Raw genomic sequence first — 21,172 nt, 5'->3', positions numbered from 1 at the left:
CAGTTCTACAGGTATAAATTCAAGAACCTGGGCTAGACAGCCTCTACGGTCCTTTCTTACTCTAAAATTCTAACAACAGGGCTTTTCCTGACCCTATGACAACAGGATTCACCAAGAAGGTCAACAAAGGTCAGTATTTAAATGTATATGAATTAAGAGGCAGGTGGAGTGGCTCACACCTGTAATCCCACCACTTTGGGAGGCTGAAGTGTGGCAGATCACTTGAGGTCAGGTGTTCAAGACCAGCCTGGCCAACATGGCGAAACCCTGTCTCTACTAAAAATACAAAAAAATTAGTCAGGTGTGGTGGCAGGCGCCTGTAATCCCAGCTACTTAGGAGGCTGAGGCAGGAGAATCCCTTGAACCCAGTAGGCGGAGGTTACAGTGAGCCAAGATCACACCACTGTACCCCACCTTGAGCGACAGAGCAAGACTCTGTCTCAAATAAAAAATTAAAAAAAAAAAAGAAGTATATGAATTCAGGTTATTGCATGACTACCACCTATGAATATATAATTTTAGTAATATTAAAACCCAATGTCATGTAAGAGATACCCAGTTACTTCTTAGTGACAAAAAGTTTTGCTCATCTGACATGAAATATATTCTACTTAAAAAAATTTTTTTTTCATGCTAAGAAAAAGTCTCCATATAAGAAAAAGTATCAGGCTATCAGGATAAAATACCTAGAATATAAAATATAACCTGACAAAAAGGAACACACTGGAAATACAACAGAAGCCAAAGTTAATAACGTGCTTCATAATTTCGAGATAAAACTTTGACCTTTAATAATTCTTCACCAACGGGTAAGTCAGCCAAAAACAACTTGTGCACAAACGATACTGTCAAAATTAAAATCACAAATGCTTTCTATTTTCCAGAGTTTACTTTAAATAAAACATATAACATCTAGAAAAGCATTAGCAATATACTTCAATTGTCATATTACTCAGAAAATTAAACAAAAAAGCCCAGAGCCTCTAAATTATCCTTCCACAACATTTCATTAGATTCATGGCAGACCACCATGGCAGACCACCATTGCAAGCCTTTTTTTGGGTGGGGGTGGAGGGGACAGGGTCTCACTCTGTCACTTAGGCTAAAGTGCAGCTGCACAATCTCGGCTCACTGCAGCCTCAACCACCGGGCTCAAGCAATCTTCCCACTTCCAAAGTAGCTGGGACTATAGGCTAATAAAAATTAGCCTAATTTTGTAATTTTATTACAAAAAATATTTTTTTGTAGAGACAGGTTTTTGCCGTGTTACCCAGGCTGGTCTAAAATTCATGAATTCAAGCAATCTGCCTACTTAGGCCAGCCACCACGGCAAGTCTTTTTTTTTTTGAGACCGAGTCTTGCTCTGTTACCCAGGCTGGAGTACAGTGGCGTGATCTTGGCTCACTGCAACCTCTGCCTCCCGGGTTCAAGCAATTCTCCTGCCTCAGCCTCCCAAGTAACTGGGATTACAGGCACCCGCCACCACGCCTGGCTAATTTTTGTATTTTTAGTGGAGACAAGGTTTCACTGCATTGGCCAGGCTAGTCTCAAACTACCGACCTCAAGCAATCTGCCCACCTCGGCCTCCCAAAGTGCTGGGATTATAGGCGTGAGCCACCACGCCCAACCCACCATGACAAGTCTTAAGCATACCAACTATTCCCGCTCCAGCCCGACAACTCAGCTTTATAAAATATGACTTGAAAGTTAATTTGCATCACACAGACATCAATCCAGCTCAATACCAGCATGTGCTATGGTGCCTAGTTGTACAAAATAAGTAAAAAAGAAAAAAAAAAGGATAATGGTGCCTATCAGCCATTATCCCTAAACTTGAATTAGCACCTAAAAATTAAAAAAAAATCATTCCTCCATGTTTCTAAACTGTTTGTAATTAACGATCATTTCCATTTTAAAGTCACATCTATGTGATATACAGAAACAAAGCCTCATTTTTTAATTAAAACAGAATTCTAGAGAAGTTTTCCATATTAATGTGCCATTCAGATTGAAGAAACTAATGTGAAACTAAAGCAACAAAAGTCACTTCAGTATTAAACAAATTTGGCACATGATAAAATTAAGTTCACTAAAAAGAAAACTTCAGAAGTATTGTTAGGCAAATTACTCATAATATGATCATCTTATTTTGAAGCCCACCTATTAAATTTTAAGTCATCCATGTACAACTTCTCCCAACTATAACAGCATTAAGAAAAACATCTTCATATTTAGAACTTAACAGTCATGTTTTAAGCTATTTTCTACATTGTAAATACTTAAGAATCAAGTTAAAATATTTTACATTTTTAAAAAATGAGTAATCTCCCATTTTCACATTTTAGGACAGTTCATTCACTTAGGATGTATAGTTGCATGCATGAATTCAACAAAAGGAGGAAAATGATTTAAGCTAGTGTACAGCCATTTAACTTCAACATAAATCTGAATGGAAGCTAATGGAAGTCTTTACAACTGTGAGCCAAGCTTTCTAAACCAGTGAGAGTTTTATTCCAATTATCACAAACAGCACCACAAATCATTCCTTATTAGAAACCTAAGAGAAGGAAAAAAATGAAGAGATAAGTTGAGAAAAAGGGATTGGCTACTTATCTGTACAGCTTCAGCAACTAAAAAAACGACTGCAATGGAAACATAAGACATTCACTAAATCTCCCCAATTTCAAATTACAGCTTCCCAATTCACCAGTCACACACAAGGGCAGCCTACTTAGCTTCTGTTCCAGCATCCTTTCCACCCATGGGGTGGTAGTACACTGTAAGTTCACAGTAGCATGGTAGCAGTATCATGTAAACTTGTATTTCTCAAATCTCAATCCCAGATGAAAACTAATACTCCAAACTAGGATACCAGTACACTGCAGCACCCCTTTCCTTTCCTTACCAAGGTTTCTGACCACGGTGAAAACACATCAGCCCGAGGTTAGCCCATGGAGAGAGAAGGAATAAACTACGGATCATGAACCAGAAATTCTGACTGAATACATCAGTTGACAGTTTCTAAAATAGAAAGTGTTACTGATTTTTTTTTTTTTTTTTGAGACAGAGTCTCACTCTGTCACCCAGGCTGGAGTGCAGTGGCGTGATCTCCGCTCACTACAAGCTCCGCTTTCCGGGTTCACGCCATTCTCCTGCCTCAGCCTCCCGAGTAGCTGGGACTACAGGCGCCCGCCACCGCGCCCAGCTAATTTTTTGTATTTTTAGTAGAGACGGGGTTTCACCGTGTTAGCCAGGATGGTCTCGATCTCCTGACCTCATGATCTGCCTGCCTTGGCCTCCCAAAGTGCTGGGATTACAGGCGTGAGCCACCACGCCCGGCTGCTGATTTTTAATATGTAAATATTTTAGTTCTTTATTTTTCCCTTATTAATACATGTATCTAGTATAACTGAGTATCTCATCTCCAGTCATAATTTCCATGCGGTAAGACCCTGGACTCCCAACATGATGCTATATATAATCAATAATCACTATTGCCAGCTTCCTTATAGTAGAGAGATCAGCAGAAAGAAGTGTCAAAGTAGCACACTTTTTAAACCAGGGGTGTCCAATCTTTTGGCTTCCCTGGGCCACACTGGAAGAACTGTCTTGGGCCACATGTAAAATACACTAACACTAATGATAGCTGATAAACTTTTAAAACAAATAAATAAATAAAAATTTAAAAATTCATAATTTTTTAAGAAAGTTTTCAAGTTTGTGTTGGGCCACATTCTAAGCCATCCTGGGCTGCATGCGGCCCACCGGTTGAACAAGCTTATTTTAAACACAAGAAGTTATTTTCCAAGCTTCAGTACAATGTATCTTCTACATGTAGATACAGTAATCTCTGTATTTGTAACTTTGTTCTGAAAATGATGACATGAAAACAAAAAGTTACAAGAGGAAACCATGTATTTAATAAAGAATCAGTATGTGGCAAAGCATGAAGTAGCTCCCTACATATTTTTCCTATCTGTTCTTCCATTTGGAGGTCAGTGGGGGCAACATCCCAAATAAGATGGGCTCTCTCAGTCTACTACTCCTGGAACGTGAGTCACTCTCATCCCTCTCTCACGCATGCCATTCCCTTACCTTAGAAGAGCTTCCTCCATTTTCCTAATCAAAGGAAATTCTAGCAACCTACAAAGCCCAAAACAAGAGCCATCTCCTGATGAGCTCAAAAAATATCTCCTTCCTTCCCACATGCTTCAAAAACTGTTATTTCATTCAGACTAAGATGTAATATAATGTACGTGATAGATGTATTGTTACAATGTGTTGTTTTCATATATGTCTTCTGTCCTGCGCCCTGCAGGGTCTGGCATGACATAGACTAAACAGAGGTCCATGTATCAGGCCATAAGCTCCCACTACAGGCAGGAAGCACATTAAGTGCTACTGAATTGAAAAAACACTTCCGGCTGGACGTGGTGGCTCATGCCTGTAATCCCAGCACTTTGGGAGGCCGAGGCAGGCGGATCACCTGAGGTCAGGAGTTCAACACCGGCCTGGCCAACACAGTGAAACCCCATCTCTACTAAGAATACAAAAATTAGCCGGGCATCATGGCACATGCCTGTAATCCCAGCTACTCGGGAGGCTGAGACAGGAGAATTGCTTGAACCCAGGAGACGGAGGTTGCAGTGAGTTGAGATCACACTACTGCACTCCAGCCTGGGCAACACAGCAAGACTCCGTCTCAGAAAAAAAAAAAAAAAGAAAAAACACTTCATTCTTTAATACCTCGACATTCAAGTTAATGGTGTGATTTAAGTGTGACAAAACTTCAAGAAAAGGAGAATTGTGAGAGGCAGCAGAACACCTGGCTTAACAGCATGGCATCTGGACTCATACTGCCCAGGTCTGAATCCCAGCCCCACCATTTTCTAACTATGTGGCTGTGGACAAGTTACTAAACCTCCCTGTGCCTCAGTGCCTGTTTCCTCATCTGTAAAACGGGAATCACAACACTGCCTATCTCTTCAGAATTGTGTGAGGATCAAGTGAGTTAAAAGTGAGTGCTTAGAACAGTGTATACAGTAAGTGCTATATGGGTGCTGGCTATCAGTTGTAGTGTTTCAAGTATAAGAAAACCCCTACGTCATAAACTTTGTGCACAACCACACACGAACTTGTGTGTATCACACAAGCTAGGTGTATATATATATACACACACACATATATATACACACATATATACACATATATATACACATACATACACACATATATACACACATATATACATACACATACACACACACATATATATACACACATATACACATACATACATACACACACACACACACACACACACACATATATATATATCTAGAGAGAGAGAGAGAGAAAGAAATTCTATCGTAGAGATTAACTCAAAACTACCAGTTTTCCTGACGGTAAAACCATGAGTTAATCTCTACAGTAGAATTTTACTCTCAATTCAACTGTTAACTGGACCCTCATTGACCCATCCCCTCAAACTTGAGGAAGCTTGTCCAAGTCAGAGCTAAACTCATGTCTCATATTTACATCCTTATGGTTTATTTCCTAACTACCTACTGCAGTCACCGTGGACGGGACAGATGGATCTACTATTGCTCATGGATACTGGAGGGGGAACAGCAAGAGAAGGCATTAAAGATGAACTGCCCTTACGCTAATCTTACTTGATGGACTTGCTCTCAAATAATTCTTATCTCGTGCTGGCCATTAATCAAATCATTCCCTTCCATTCCATCCTTGATAGAAATCTATTTCCAGAAACCATTTTCCCTTTTGTATAATTTAATAAAGAGTTTTTTTAATGCAGTTATAGCAATTTCTACTAGACACAGCCAACACTGAAGTGGCCATGCCTTAAGTTTAGCATGAGATTTCACAGTTTGGGTGGAAAACAAGACCTGAAATAAAGGGTCTGCCGTGGAAATTTTGACAGACTGATGAGGACAGTGAAACCTTAATTTTATGTCACCAAGAAATGTTTCATAATGGCATCATTCTTTCCTCTCCTAATATAAATCCGGGCTTCATTCATACCAAAAGTTTCCACTTGGCTCTGAAGAATGTTTTCTGCAGAACCGTTAGAATCTGAACCCATGACACGCCCCACCAGCCTGGTTAAGTACTTTAGCTCTATTTCTAAGATGGGGATAACATCCTGTTATGGGGTGCTTTTGGAATGAAAGCATATAAAATATGAAAGCTAGATGTCTGACATAATGTAGCATTGAATACATATCCATTTTCTTTCCTTTCAATTGAATAAAATCTTGAAAGTGATTCTAATCACCGTTATAATCTGTGATGATAAACATAATCACAGCTGTTTCACTCCAAAGCTGCCGCTGCCATTCATGTACATTTACTTGCATATTAAAGCACAAAAACCTTTATTATTTGTATTAAGGCACAAAAAATGTATTAACGCACAAAAACCTTTCAGGTACAAAAATTTTAAAAATAACAGAATCAGTGAAGTTGAGCTACTACTCCCTCTGGAGCATGATGATTGAGCTCCAGTTATTACCAATCTCAAAGTAAAATAGAGCATTTAAATAACTGTACCAAACAAGTACTAAAAGCTGGTTTTACTTTCTCACCCTATACCCAAGACATTTTCCCCCTCCTGCTATAGCCCATGATACACTCTTGTTTTATTTGTGCAATAAGATTTATTCTTGATGCTTGGATAATATTCTAAAGATAGAAAGAAGACACATTAAGTGGTTTATTTCTGCAGTGTTAATGTGTTAGGTTTAGCCATTACATATGTTAACTTATTATATACATAAAGGTAGAATTTTCTGCTCCCTCTTTTGAATAAGTATGCTTAGCTTTAAAAGTACTTTTTCTTTAATGATCCTAAGATCTTAGTTGGCACAACTTTGGATTATAAACTTGCTTTAAAAAAATATAGAAAAGGCAGCCAGGCAGAAGTCACTGTGATCTTTCTGGTTATGAATGCTTGTATCACATCTCTTAATATTTATATAATCACACACCCAACAAATATTTACATAGTATCTACTGAGTGTCAGGCACCACATTACACACTGGAGACACAAAAAGAAATAAGACTCAGTCCTCGCACTCAAAACTGGCAGAGGAAACAGAAGTAGAGAGGTGATACAGTGTGAAGGTCCTATGATAGGAAGGGTGGGGCGCGGGAGCTCACGCCTGTAATCCCAGCACTTTGGGATGCCGAGGCAGGCAGATCACTTGAGGTCAGGAGTTCGAGACTAGCCTGACCAACATGGCGACACCCCGTCTCTACTAAAAATACAAAAATCAGCTGGGTGTCATGGTATGTGCCTGTAATCCCGGCTACTCAGGAGGCTAAGGCATGAGAATTTCTTGAGCCCAGGAGGCAAAGGTTGCAGTGAAGTGAGACTGTGCCACTGCACACTCCAGCCTGGGTGACAGAGTGACACTCTGTCTCACAAAAAAAAAAAAAAAAAAAAGGTCCTACGATAGGAAGAACATGTAGAATAGGACAATTGGGAAAGACCAGAGCTAAACCTTAGACTAAGACTTAACAGGTGAAACAGATATCATCTGGGCAAACGGGGTTGAGGAAAGAATTGAAACAAGCACTTTCTGGGAAACTGCAACTTATTCACAATGACCCAGGGATAGGAAGAAGGAAAGCATTGTAGGTAAGTCTGAAGAGGTCAGGCAGGAGACTTTAAGAGTCTTCCAATGTCTTGCTAAGGAGTTGGACTTATCCTGATAGGGCAGCTGTGAAACTAATGCTATTTGGAAATGGAATACTCTGAATCTGCATGAAGAAAAACAATTGAGCAAGTGAGGAGTTAATGTGTCTAAAAACTTAAATTTCAATAGTATCATCCAGGAGAGTGAAATACTCGGAGGGCAGGAAACCACCAAAAAATGTAAAGAAAAGGAAACTCTGGTTGGGTGCAGTGGCCCACGCCTGTAATCCCAGCACTTTGGGAGGCTGAAACAGGAGGATCACCTAAGGTCTGGAGTTCAAGACCAGCCTGGCCAATATGGTGAAACTCCGTCTCTACTAAAAATACAAAAATTAGCTGGGCATGGTGGCATGCATCTGTAATCCCAGCTATTCAGGAGGCTGAGGCAGAAGAATTGCTTGAACCCAGGAGGCAGAGGTTGCAGTGAGCCAAAGTTGCACCATTGCACCGCAGCCTGGGAGACAAGAGCGAGACTCCATCTCAAAAAAATAAAATAATATAAAGAAAAGGAAACTCAAACATCAGATTTATCTGCAAAAGTAAACATTTATTCGGCTTTCACGACCTATGAGGATAAATAGCCTCTCCATATGCTACAACCCCAGCTTCTGGTGGCGGGGGTAGGATTGATGTGTGAATAAATTAACGAAACACTTTCACTTACCGTATAAAGTAAAAGAGTAGCAATTCAGAAAGTCATTAATCAGAAATCATTTTATAACAAGTATATAGCACCAAATGGGAACACTCAACACTAGTTTTATCTAACCATCCCTACTTCTAAGTATTAATGCAGTTTTACGGAGGAAAAACACTGTTGAAAAGAAAAATAGCATTTTTTGTTATTGTTTGGTTTTGTTTTTTGAGACAGGCTCTCACTCTGTCGCCCAGGCTGGAATGCAGTGGCACGATCACACCTCATTGCATCCTCGACCTCCCAGGCTCAAGTGATCCTCCCACCTCAGCTTCCCAAGTAGCTGAGACCACGGGTGCTGCACCACCATGCCCAGCTACTTTTTCTATTTTTTGTAGCGATGGGGTTTTGCCATGTTGCCCGGGCTGGTCTTAAAGTTCTGGGCTCAAGCAATTCGACCGCCTCAACCTTCCAAAGTGCTGGGATGACAGGCATGAGCCACTGCACCCAACCACAGAAAGGCAGTTCTAACTGTCCACCTCCACCACTTTTCTCTGTAATTCAGGCATTACTGACCATTTCATCTTTGAGACTGAGATAATGCTTTGACCTGGCATTACTACAAAAACTCTAGGTTTCAAATTATACTCAGTCTTCCATGCATTCTATCTTTTTGGAACTAAACCTCCAAGAGTTTATCTCTAATTAACATAACTTACAATTTGGGGATGGGTAACCAATCAAAACTGAGGTACCAAGGGCTGAACCCCTCCTGAAGACAGAATAATGGAAAACCCTGGCACTAACTTTGAAAACCAGCGGGCAGCCAGAGGCCACACAGTGCAAGCAGCGGTCAATGCAGTACATAGGGAGGACAGATCCTCTGCTCAAGTTGGCCATAGGGAGGACAGACAGATCCTCTGCTCAATCTGGCCTACCTCATGATTCCACCCAACTTGTACCTCAGTCTCCTATCTCCTGGTACTTGGTGTCCATACAACTCAGCTCTCAGAACACCGTGGCGGATGAGGACAACGGCGCATCCCTTTTCTGAAAGGCTGGTGACTCACTCGCTACTGCCCCCTTTCTGTTTAAAGGCCACCTTCCTTAAGTAGTCTTGTTTTCTGGAATCCCTCAGCTCACACAGCCAAGAGGAGACTCATTCTTTTTTTTCTTCCCTTAAACACCAACTTTCATTCTTACAGAAGGAATAGAAATCACCACCCTGCTCAGATGAGCCAATGCAAATACCTTCTCTGAAACAGGCCTTCAAAACAAAATATCAAAGGGGAAGAGTAGCTGATTTTTTAACCCTTAACACTGAAAAATGCAGAGCTTCAGTTGAAGTCACAGATGAAGTACAATATGTGTTATGTTCTTAGCAGGGAAATGACTCAAGATTCAAAACAACTTTAGTAGCATCATTGAAAGCACAAAAATGTAAATTCTTTCCCAGCAGACCCCTCAAAATCCAGTGACGATCATTCAGGGACAACAGGCTCCTGTTGGTCATGGTTACTGACAGAGCTTAATTCTCACGCTGTCTCTTGAGTATCTTCACCTCATCAAAGAGCCTAGGTTTGTAGCACATTTTCATTTGTGATATTAAAAGACAAAGAATAGCAAAAAAAAAAAAAAATTAGAGAAAACAAGTGGAGGTTAGGCAGATGAAACAAACTATGTTAACTGTTTGGCATTTGAAATAGGCAGGTCACATTTTGAGAGGCTGTTTCTACCACTGTAATTAGAGAAGTGCATGGGTGTTGCTCCGCCTAAGGAGGGGGAAAAAAATCGAGTTGGCTCTTTCCCTTTTCCAGTACTGAAAGCAGTGGATAACACTGTTTCAGCTCCACTGCCCCAGAGAAAGAGTGCATTTGAGCAGTACAGTGGATCGCTCTGTTCTCTGATGACTGACTTTGGAAGTAGCCAGTGCAAGACAGAAACTACCAACTGGAAACAGACCTTCCAGACTTGAAACTCAACTTCATCAATGTCCATACCACACAAATCTACTTCCTGTCTTCTTCTCCTTTCTCTGACGGGGGAAAAAAAAAGTGGGCAAGGACTAGATCTCTGCTAGTTTTATGGAGATGAAATGAGTGCTAGGGGTACATCAAGCAAAAAAACATTCAACCAAAAATAAGAAGGCAACTCCAAGTCATGTAAAAAGGGTCACTTCAGAGCTGTGAAGGAACACGCTTGTCTTTATCTCTGAGGACCTTAAGAAAAGTATTTCCCACTTGGAAATCTACTACACACTCATCTTTCTCCTCCCCAGAAGAATGGCCCTTGGTTTCACCGTTTCAGGCAGCAAATTCTGACAACGGGATCCTGTGTTACTTGCCCTGGTAATATCAGTTTTCAGGATTGTATACCTATATTGCAATATAAAGAAGAATGGCACAGAGTCCATGAAGGGAACATGAGAATAAGCCAATAAGTCTCTCCAGAGAAACGCCCTTCCCTTCCCCAAGATACAACATAAATGAAAGTAGAAATAACTTTAGTACTTCACATGCTTGTAAGATGCCATTCTCTAAATGGCATAAATTACAAACCCAGTTTTAAGGACTAAAACTCACTTATTTCTTTAGTCTTCAAATACCTACTCACCATTTACTAAGTAAAATGAAGATAAATATTTTGGATCTAAAGCTATATTACTTACTGCATGAATATGTGAGTCACTGGGAGCATACACACCCCTCTAGTTAAAAAAAGAAAAACTATGCTTGCTGCAGATATTTTACCTACTAACCAAAGCAACATACTACATACTAGTGGACAGAAAGCACTGCCTCATCGGGTAAAAATAATCTGATGTATGAGGAATACAAAAAGCAGTTTCAAACTCCAGCTGTCATTTCCAGAGAGTGTGTTGCCAAAGGTATGAATGAGAATGAGTTATTCTCCTGCAGAAGAATGATGTTCTATCAAACAAAACCGAGGAAAAAAAAAACAAAATTAGAGAGCATTAAAAGAAAACTTCACTCTACGATAGTCAGATGTTAATAGAAAGATTAATTTTGCGGTAGGAGCCAAAACAGAAAATGCTGGGTAACTATATTTGTGGGATTAAAAGCATCACCCTGAGGTAACATATCCTTCTTAAGTTACAACAAACAATAAAATACAATGGACTAGCATATGCCTACTAGAAGTCAAATACAGATGAGACACAGTAAACAAAATATAACAAGCAGACAGCATGTTACAAATAAATGTATACTATTGGAAAAGGTCTCTGTGAACTGTAATTTGTAAACGCACTAGGGTAATTCATTATTTAAAGAGATCTGAGGTTAAATTCTTCACCAAAGCAAAGAACTATATAGAAAGCACATAGTCACTTCTCTAATTTGTCTGGTTTGTAAATCCAGAGTTTCAAATATTAGGTAGAGTAAGGCAATTCACACAACACAAATGGCTAAAACACATTTGAAAAAAAAAGTTCAAGCTCACCCATAATGCAGGAGATGGAAATCTAAAAGAGGGGCCCCTTTTCACCTACCAGATTGGTAAAAAATGTAAAAGATGTATATTACCCGATATCTTCACTGGTAAAAATGAAGAGGAAGTCCCATTAATACAAAAAAATGTGCACTGGAACTCTTGAAGAGCAATTTAGCAGCACCCGTTAAAATGTAAGATGCACACATACACACTTCTGGCTATCTATTGTAGAAATACCTATACTAGTGTCCAATAATGCTCTTGACAAAGGTATTTGTACTAGTAAGAACGAATTACAAAATACCCCTTGATAGAGGAATGGGTGAATAAATTGGATACATCCACACATGCAGCCACTAAGCAGAGTAAGGCAGAACTGATGCTTTGATGTGGAAGAATATCCACCATCTACTGCTGAGTGAAAAGAGCAAGTTGCAAAGTCGTATAAAATTTTGATCTCCTTTTAAAAACTAAGTATGTGTGAGTGAGTGAACGAATGGTTGTCTCAAACAGAAGTTATCTCTGGAGGAGGGAAAAGAGAAGCATATGCAATTTCACTTTTTATTTTATACAGTTTAAAATTTTTATGGGTTTCACTTTTTTAATTTAGGTAAAAGGGAGTTATGTTGCCATGAAACTATTAATCTGCTAATCCACTAAAAGTTCAAGAGATGCTCTGGGGGAAATCATGCAAAACCCCCTAGAGCCTAGTAATACGGCCACTGTGATTTCCACAAAATCTGCTCAGATGAGCGGGTCTAAGAGGAACCAACCTTATTCTAATCAACCTTATTTTTTATTTATGCAGAAAATGATAAAAGTTTTAGAACAAGACAACCACTTTCTCCCAGACAAGCAGTATGGAGAAGATTCAGTACAAAAATTTTCTTATAGATTTATGTAAGTCCCCACCCAAACGAAAAATATCACCAAAAATAACAGATGTCAATCACATTGGCCCAGAACCTTACATCTTTAAACTCCCTAAAGTCATGTTCAAGCCTAGGCTCAAATCTCACCCATAAAGTTCAGGCCCACAACTTTGAGAACTAGAAAGAGCTACATTTTCCTTTCATCTTTTGTAGAGACTGGTATAACACATCTTTCTCTTTCTTCTCTTTTTAAAAGGAATATCCCTTGATTTTCAAATGCAACTCTGAAAATGATACACTCAGTAGGGGTTTTAAGCACATCTTGGAGAAAGGAAGGTAGAATATTAAATGAATAATCATACCATAAAATACTCCCATCTAAAATATGTTTAGAAAATGTATACAAGAAACAAGTTCACAAATTTGAACTAGTTTTTAAAAGGCAACCAATTTACTAGCACAATCTCAAAGTTGTAAAAAAGTACACAGTGCCTTTCTCTCTAATGCACTTAATATTAAACAGTGTTAGGATAATATTTTCCAGGCTAGAATGTACTTTCTGCTTGCCCTAATAATAAATCTATGCCCAGATGGGAAATGGAACCAGAACTAAATAAACACAATATAGACAATGAGCAGGAGAGCCAGAAAAGTTAGCTAATGAGCCTGTGATGCCTTCACAAGCTCTAAAGTGGGTTTCTTCAAAAAGGAAAAGTCAAACAATTAGAATGGAGAGTACAAAAAGTTAGATATTCGATGTGTGTGAAATGCAATTACAGATCAGAGGGTGAAGCAAATGGATTTCTTTCTGTATGTGATGGCTGATATCACGTTTTGTCAGATATGTAAGCTGAAAGGAAAGCATGCTACATAGTCATACCATAGAAATCAGTCATCAAATCATCAACAAAACTTTAAAACATGCAAACTTTGTTCTCGATGACAACTGGTATTCTAAACAAAACAAACCCTTACTAGAATGAAATACGGCCTAAAATTAGTTGCAGTGAGTCCAACTCAATACATAAGTAAAAGCGATGAAGAATAAAAACAAAGAGGAAGAACAAGGAAGAAAAGCCACTTGAATACAAAGTGATTCCATTTTTTTCTCAACACCCACACAAAGACAGCAGTTTCTGACAAGAATGTTCTCGGCAAAAAATAAAATTACAGAAAGGCTTTTTTTTTTTTTTTCCAATGAGAAAAAGGCAGCTCTATATGCAGATTAGTAGGCCCCAATTATTTTTTAAGGCCCAAATTTACAGCCCTCATATTTCAAAATTATCTAAATAACATTTTTTTATTGGAAAGAAAATATGACTGGAAATAATGTTCTTGTTTGGAATGCTTATTTCATGTTGTGCTTGAAAATAAAACCAAAAGTGGTAGCTTACCTTGGCACTGGAAGCCTTGTTTCCCAAACCCCCTGAAAAACAAAAACAAGAACAAAATATCTTAACATATTTTCTGTTGGATAGCATATTTTAAACAAGTTATGTGACCAAGTACTCTACCACTAAAGGTTTGTATGTGAAACCCAATGATTTAATAGAAAAAAACATACCTAAATATCTAGTCAGATTACTGTGTAAATTCAACCTTGGGGGGAAAAAAATCTTGCCTATAAAGGATCACTGAACTATTTCGATGTATCAACCTTTTTTCCAATTTTTTATACTATGTTATCAATACTAAAATTTCAAGACAAGAACATGACTGTATATTCAAACTTGTTGGCTACAACACAATATTCAAGTAACAAAACAGTTTATGGTTAAAATTGTAAAAGGAAGTTGCTTATTTTGTTCCTGAAGACCAAATGAAAATTGTTTTTATCTCCCTAAAGATAACAAAGTGGCTTCTTTTTGTTTAAAATATCACATGTCTAGAAACTGCCAAACGGCATCACTTTTAACATTTAATGTTGGCTTAAGAAACCAGATCTTAGAAAATATAATTCCTATTGTTTGCATTTGAGATGACCACGATCTAATTTCTACTGAGAACCAATAGCATTCAAAGCACATAGGGAGGCTATTTTGTTCTTGTACATGACTTTAGAGAATTTACTCTGTAAGCAGAGAACCCTGACGTGGACGTTCAATTGCAGGTATTGTTCTACCAGAATGAACTGCATTAAAATTTCTTCGGAAGGTTGAGAGTCATAATCTCTTGCTTCACATAGAATGTTTCATGTACAAAGTATTTCACATACTTTTAAAATTAACTTAGAGTCATCCCCCCTACTAAAAACCATATCTAACTCTAAACATTTCGCTTAAAAATATCAGTGATTTAATATTGAAATAAACGTGTAAATCAAGGACCCCGTAGAAGCAATAATGAAAGCAAACTGAAAAAGACAATCCCCGTGGATGGTTTCCTGGGACTTCCAATTGGTTGGTTTACAATTAAATGCAGAGTGCTGCAGGGATCCTCAGGGGGGCATTTTCCACTTCACAATACTGGTGGTGACCTGAGCGCCTCTTCAGCTCACCAGGGGCTGATCCTTCAAGGGCAACTGATAGTGGAAAGACAATAGCTAGCCTCAGTATGCTGCAAGTCCCTTTCTAACTCTCCTACTTCCTGCAAAAGTCACCAGCAGTCTGTTCCCTTTTAATGGACTCTCACAGCTGACCTCCTCTTAACCAAATGCAATATTCTCTTTGCCCTGATGCTCCGAAATTTTTATTTTAAATAGCCTTATCTACGACTACCTACTCCTTTGAGCACAGTCGCTTCATATGCCGACTAGACAGTGGAAATCACTCATAGAGGTGGCTGTGCTTTTCATAAAAGTGTACTTGGGAGCAGATGTCTAAAAAGGAAAGGAAAAATTAAACACCTTATTCGCACCACGATCATGGGACCTGCCCTTTGGGATGTTTTTCCCCAGGTGTGATGGATTCCGACAGAGCCATCCATACTATGCTCACCCTAGTGGCCCAAGATACCTGTGCCACACAGCTGGCTGGTGGCAGGATTCACTCCGTGACTGCCACCCTGTGCAGCTCCCCCTGGCCTAGAAGGAGAGGGAGCTAAGAAGCCCTAGCCATAGCTCTGTCTTGCCCGGAACTTCCTACACCACAAAGAAGAGGTAGAAGAGTCAGGACGTCGGGCAACTTAAAAGAAAAACCAAACTACTGCTGCTCTAACTAGAGGACCTAGAGCTCCTTTAGTTCCAGCTTTCAAAACTTTTGTGTGGTGACGGGGATCTGGGAAGAAGGGTCACACACCTTTTGAGGATCAGATGAAAGCTGTAATTCTCTCACCAGGAAAAAGATTCACAAACACAATTTCCCTCAGTTTTACAGGGTTCAGAGACCCCTGAAGCCCTTCTATGTATCGATTCTCCATAAGCCCCCAGGGACCCTCCGAGTTAAGAATGCCTGAATTCATTGGCGATTACCTGATCTCTGACCTCTGGCCCTTATATTATTTTTCTTAAATAAGGCCTCTGCCCTCATCAACAGGGTTACAGGTCTAATCTCGAGTTGACAGGGTCTGTTTCATTTTTTTTGAGACGGAATCTCGCTCTGTCTCACCCAGGCTGGAGTGCAGTGGCCCGATCTCGGCTCACTGCAGCCTCCGCCTCCCGGGTTCAAGCGAGTCTCCCGTCTCAGCCTCCCGAGTAGCTGGGATTACAGGCGTGTGCCACCACGCCCGGCTAATTTTGTATTTTTAGTAGACGGGGTTTCACCATGTTTGCCAGGCTGGTCTCGAACTACTGACCTTAGGTGATCCGCCTGCCTCGGCCTCCCAAAGTGCTGGGATTACAGGCGTGAGCCACCGCGCCTGGCCGACAGGGTCTATTTTAAATGAGTCCCTCTGCCCTTGTGCCATTTGCCTGCTAGAACTCCCCCTCCCCCACTGCAAGCTTTCAACAGTTTGCTCTCTCTCTCTCTGCTCACTCAGAAAAGTCAGTCTCTCCGTGCCCAGTAGATGCAGCCTACAGTAGGCAGGGGCCCAAGATGCCAGCGCAGTCCAGCCCGATGGGAAGCACAAACACAACCCCCCCACCCCGAACGCGCCCAGCCTGGCTCGCCAGCAACTTGGACCGCGCGCAGTGCAATCGCCGCCGCTCCCCCGTTACTCCGGGGCGCGTTTCTCCGGGAACCTTTGCCCCCTTAGGGCCTCTCCTCCTCCCCTGTCCCCTGGGCTCACACCCCGGCAAGCGGCCGCTCCGCTGGGTGCGTGCGGGTGGGCGCGCCCGGGGAGGTGAGGGGCCCGGCCCGGAGAGGGATCCCCTTCGCCACCGTACGGGGCCAGCCTCCCTCTCGCGCCAGGGGGTGTGTGTGGCGGGACGGCGACGTCCCGGGAGTCCTGCCCGCCGGTGTCAGGGCCGGGCGCGCGTGTCACTCCGGGCGAAGAGTTCGGACTCCCGCCGGTTCCAAGTTATCGGAGTGAGCCAGCCCCGGGGCGGACGCGCCGGAGCGCCGGGTGCCGGGACCCGGAGGCGGGGAGGAGCGGGGCAGGAGTGCCCGGCCCGGCACCTACCAGATGAAGTCGGTGCAGTGGCTGCAGAAGGTGGGCTGCTTGAAGAAGCGCGCGATGAATTTGTGGTCCTTCACCTCGTGCACGTTCTTCTGCCTCAGCGCCCCTTTGCGGGCGAAGCGGTTGGCCACGTCCTGAGACGCCGTGGAGTCGTTGCCCGGGAAAACGTCAGCCATGGTCCCCCCCAACCACCTCTTGCCTCCGCCGGGGAGCTGCGGCCGCGGAGGGCCGGGTGGGCGGGGGCGGCGGGGGAGAGGTGCGGGCTCGGGGCGACCCCGGGCGCGGGGCGCGGGCCGGTGGCCGAGGTCGCGGCGAGGGGGCGCGGCGGGGGCCGGGGAGAGTCGGGCTGGTGCTGCGCGGAGCGGGAGCGGGAGCCGGAGCCGCTGGCTCGCCCGCTGGCCCCAGGCTCACTGACAGCCCGGTGCCCGGCGCTCGCGCTTCCTACTCGCGGCGGCAGAGGCGGCCCGGAGCGGCACCGCCCACCGCGCATGCCCCGAGCGCGAGGCCGCGAGGACGAGCGGCGGGGGCGCGCGGGCCGGGCGCGCGCGGGGGTGCGGCGAGGGTGCGGCGGCGGCGGCGCTGAGCGGACCGGACCGAGTGCGGAGGAGGCAGCGAGTGCCTTGCGGTGCTGGGAACACTGGGCAAGGGGAGGCGGCGGCGGCGGCGGCGGCGGCGGCGGCGGCGGCGGCGGCGGCCGGGGGAGGGCCGGCCCGAGTGGGGATGCGGGGGAGGAGGCCGGGAGTGGCGGGTCCGCGCTCCTCCGCCGCCTTTTTCTTTCCTCCCCTTCCTGCGCCCGGCTCTCCTCCCTCTCGCCCTCCTCCGCCTCAGTTCTCCTCCTCTTCTTCCGCTCTTGCCGCCCGGCCTCCTCCTCTCCCGGTCTTCCTTCTCCCACTCCCGCTCTCTCTCTTGTCGACGGGCTCGGAGTCCTGCGCCACCCGTGCCGGGCCGAGAGGAGCCCGCGTCCGGGAGTGGGCTCCACGCGCAGCCCCTGCCCCGGAGCCTCCCGCCCGGTGCTCACCTCCTAACCCCTCAGCACCCGCAGCAGGGAGCCCCTTCCCCATCCTCAGGACCCCCGGTGTCTCCAGGGCACGACGCCCGTGTTTTAGCTGCCTGTACCAGCTTGAGGTTTCACCTGGCCAAAATGTCACTTTCATCACGTGTGCACTAAAAGACCTAGCCCCTAGACCTTCCTACAGGAGGAAGAGAGCGATTTTTAAATAATTAAGCATTGACCCTTTCCCCTACCTTCTCTTCTTGACCTATACCTTATTTCACCTGCGTGTGGTAGAGACTTTTAATTTGTACGTCGGGCATTTATCACCACGTGGGATGGTTAAAGGACTTGTCTTAGGTATTTATCCCGTTATTCAATGGCCACCAGAGCGACGATGTTGATTATCAGGCTTTCTTGATTTTACAAGTCCAGGACCTTAATTTAGAAATCATTTTGCATCCCAAGCTAATTACTGCAATACTGTCAGGTGCAGAGTGCAGCCAGTACGTTTGTAACTTACCAAGTAAAACTGCCTGTGAAAGAGTAGCGGGCATGGCTATGCAAAGGACGCAGGTGGGGATGCACCAGCTAATCACTCGCTGAATATTTATCAGGTCTGCCTGGAGGCCGCTAAAATACATAAGGGAAATAATCATTTCTCAGCGTTTCATTGGTGTTTTGTTTTATTTGCCAGATTCACGAAATCCCCAAAACGACTTTACGAGCTAAAGAGACCAAGAAAGAGAACACGTTTGATCCTTCAATAAATTTATGTTGAAAAAAAAAACTTTTCTAAAATACTTTCTTAGAGCATGTAACATAGGCCAAGTAGAGCTAATATTGTTTTCTTTGAGATTGCCTAATTGTGATGCTTGATGATAGGAATGTCCTTTATATTTTTAACAAATGGAAGCTCTCCTGACTGGCCGTCAGTGGTGCATGCACTTGACTGATCCATTTACAATCTCTTGAGCCAGTCTTGGTGCTTCAAGAGCCTGCACCTGCCTGGTATTCTAGCTGGTCAGAAATTTCGCCACTCATGGTCGCCCCTCGGGTCCAAGGAGTCAAAAAGGGAAGAAGCAAAGAGGAATGAAGAGCAGGGCATGTTGGGGAAATAGTCCCAATTCTCCATGAAACACTAGAAGCATCTCAAGCCATGGTGGTTTATTGCTTGAAAGCAGAAATCAAATGGAACATAGTGGAATGAAATAATTTCTTTTCTCATAGTCGTCTTTTATCTAAGACGGAGATCCTGGCACATTTTACAAAGACAAGCTTATTTCTATGTCCCTGAGGCTTTCATAGGAGGATGGAGAGAGCTGGAGGGTGAAGTTGCTGATAATGGAATCCTGAGTAAAGTCATAGGAAAGACAAGAACAGAATGAGCCCTGGCAGCAGCCTGCGAATCTCCTGTGTACTCCATGGAGTGACTGTCTTAGCTGTCAGTAGATCAGATGGAACAATGTGTCTGTTTTCTTTTAGGTTGTGGCTTTGCATTCTTGCCTCAGTTGTTAGTGTTGTTCCTGGTGGGTACGAGGAGGAATGATTGACTGGAAGTCAACTGATTCATGGTTGGGCTGGGCATGAAAGCATCAATAGCCCACATCTTAGCTCAGTTGGGGAGAGGGGACTGTGCACCCAGAGTGGGGATTTATCAATTACCAAGCAGTGTAACACTGTCCCTAGCAAGGACTGATGGAAATGTGGGCCAGCATCTACTCCTGCAGCCTACCTGAAGTCCCCATGGTATAACTAAAATGGAGGAGATTAAGGACGGGAGAACCCCCTGGGTTGGGGGTAGTCAGTCAGTCATGAGGGCATGAGTAAATTTTATTTTCGAGTCTGCTATTTCATGGGGAAGGTGCGGGAAAAGAACAGGGAATGTCAGACTGAACGCAGAGTTTTTCAGAATCCGCTTCTGTCCTCTGCCTTTGAGGAGTAAGCTCAACACTGTTTGGAGAGGTGTCACCTAGACCAGGGGGACCCAGAGGCTGGAGGCTGGGATCAAAGTCAGACCACCAAACAGATGACTCAGAATCCCAATGGTTTGAAGCCAGCGGTCTTTCAGATACAATTTACAGCTTGCTGCTCTATGCAGCTAACTGGACTGTTTTCAAATGAACCAGGACATTTTCAAATTGGGCAATAGGAATTGCATAAGTATCGAAAAAGCATCATTCTGAGATTTATGGTAACCAAGATGACTTAAGGCTTATATTTTATTCTATGCACCATATTCAAGGTTTAGGAGAGGCAAGGCAACTGCCGAAATGCGTAAGCAGGCAGCAGTCAGATTCACTGTAACTGGCAGATCTCTAAACAGGTAGAGGTGAGGATCTACCTGAGTAGCAGAACACTAGAGTCAGGGGCCATTTTGGGGTAAGTTTAAGGAGCAGGGTAGTACTGTATAGGAGTGGATGAGTCAGATGCCCCAGTCAGAGGTTAGTTCCAAGGCTTCCAGGTCTGGTCCTGCAGGTTGCTCATAGCACAGGAGCTCCCAGTCAAGAGACTAAGTAGGGGCTAAAACTCAACTCGCATACTCCTTGCCAAGTGTACCTTTGGGCCTCTGTCTTCCCAGAAAAGCCACCATTTTTAAATTCACACCAAGGTACCACATGGGTTAATGAAGGCCCTGGTTGGTTGTGATTACAGTTGATTGATTCCAGTTGGTTGTGTCTCCACTGAAAGAGCTTCTGTGGGCAGCCTCCCTGGAGTTTGAGGCTTGGGGACTTTGCTTCTAAGCAAGCCTTCTTCTAGGATCTCTTTCTGTCTCCTGTATCTCACAGCATCACTAGTCCCTCAATGGCTCAAGTTGAAAACCTAGGCATCATCCTTATTCTTCCCTTGGTCTTACTCCCATATCCAATCCATGAGAAAGTTTAATTGGTGCTTCCTCCAGGACAGATCTCAAATCTATCCACCCCCAACCCTAGCCTAAGCACTATCATCTCTTTCCTGGGCCACTGCAGGACCACTTAATTGGTCTTCCTGCTTTCGTTCTTGC

General features: G+C 43.2%; 1 protein-coding gene across 8 annotated transcripts in view, besides 1 other annotated feature; it reads right to left on the bottom strand.

The window, feature by feature from the left end:
* Window positions 1–17,589, bottom strand: part of PRKCA (protein kinase C alpha) — a 508,131-nt gene extending 490,542 nt beyond the window's left edge. For all 8 annotated transcript variants that reach the window (XR_007065315.1, XR_007065317.1, XR_007065316.1 and 5 more), the window contains exons 1-2: window positions 17,178–17,589; window positions 14,075–14,106 (exon numbers count right to left, since the gene is read on the bottom strand). Coding sequence is in view for 3 of the 8 variants with exons in the window: in NM_002737.3 (NP_002728.2) it covers window positions 14,075–14,106; window positions 17,178–17,350 (205 nt within the window). In the remaining 5 variants the exon portion in view is untranslated. The remainder of the gene's footprint in view (window positions 1–14,074; window positions 14,107–17,177) is intronic.
* Window positions 16,294–16,795: an enhancer, noted in NCBI's record as "H3K4me1 hESC enhancer chr17:64299525-64300026 (GRCh37/hg19 assembly coordinates)". NCBI's record gives its function as "activates a minimal SCP1, AML or CMV promoter by ChIP-STARR-seq in naive H9 embryonic stem cells {active_cell/tissue: H9 hESC(naive)}" and the evidence as "EXISTENCE:reporter gene assay evidence [ECO:0000049][PMID:30033119]".

Source organism: Homo sapiens, chromosome 17, assembly GCF_000001405.40.
Source record: "Homo sapiens chromosome 17, GRCh38.p14 Primary Assembly".
Lineage (NCBI taxonomy): Eukaryota > Metazoa > Chordata > Mammalia > Primates > Hominidae > Homo > Homo sapiens.
The sequence above is the reverse complement of the archived record's forward strand: the minus strand, read 5'-3'. Positions and strand labels throughout refer to the sequence as shown.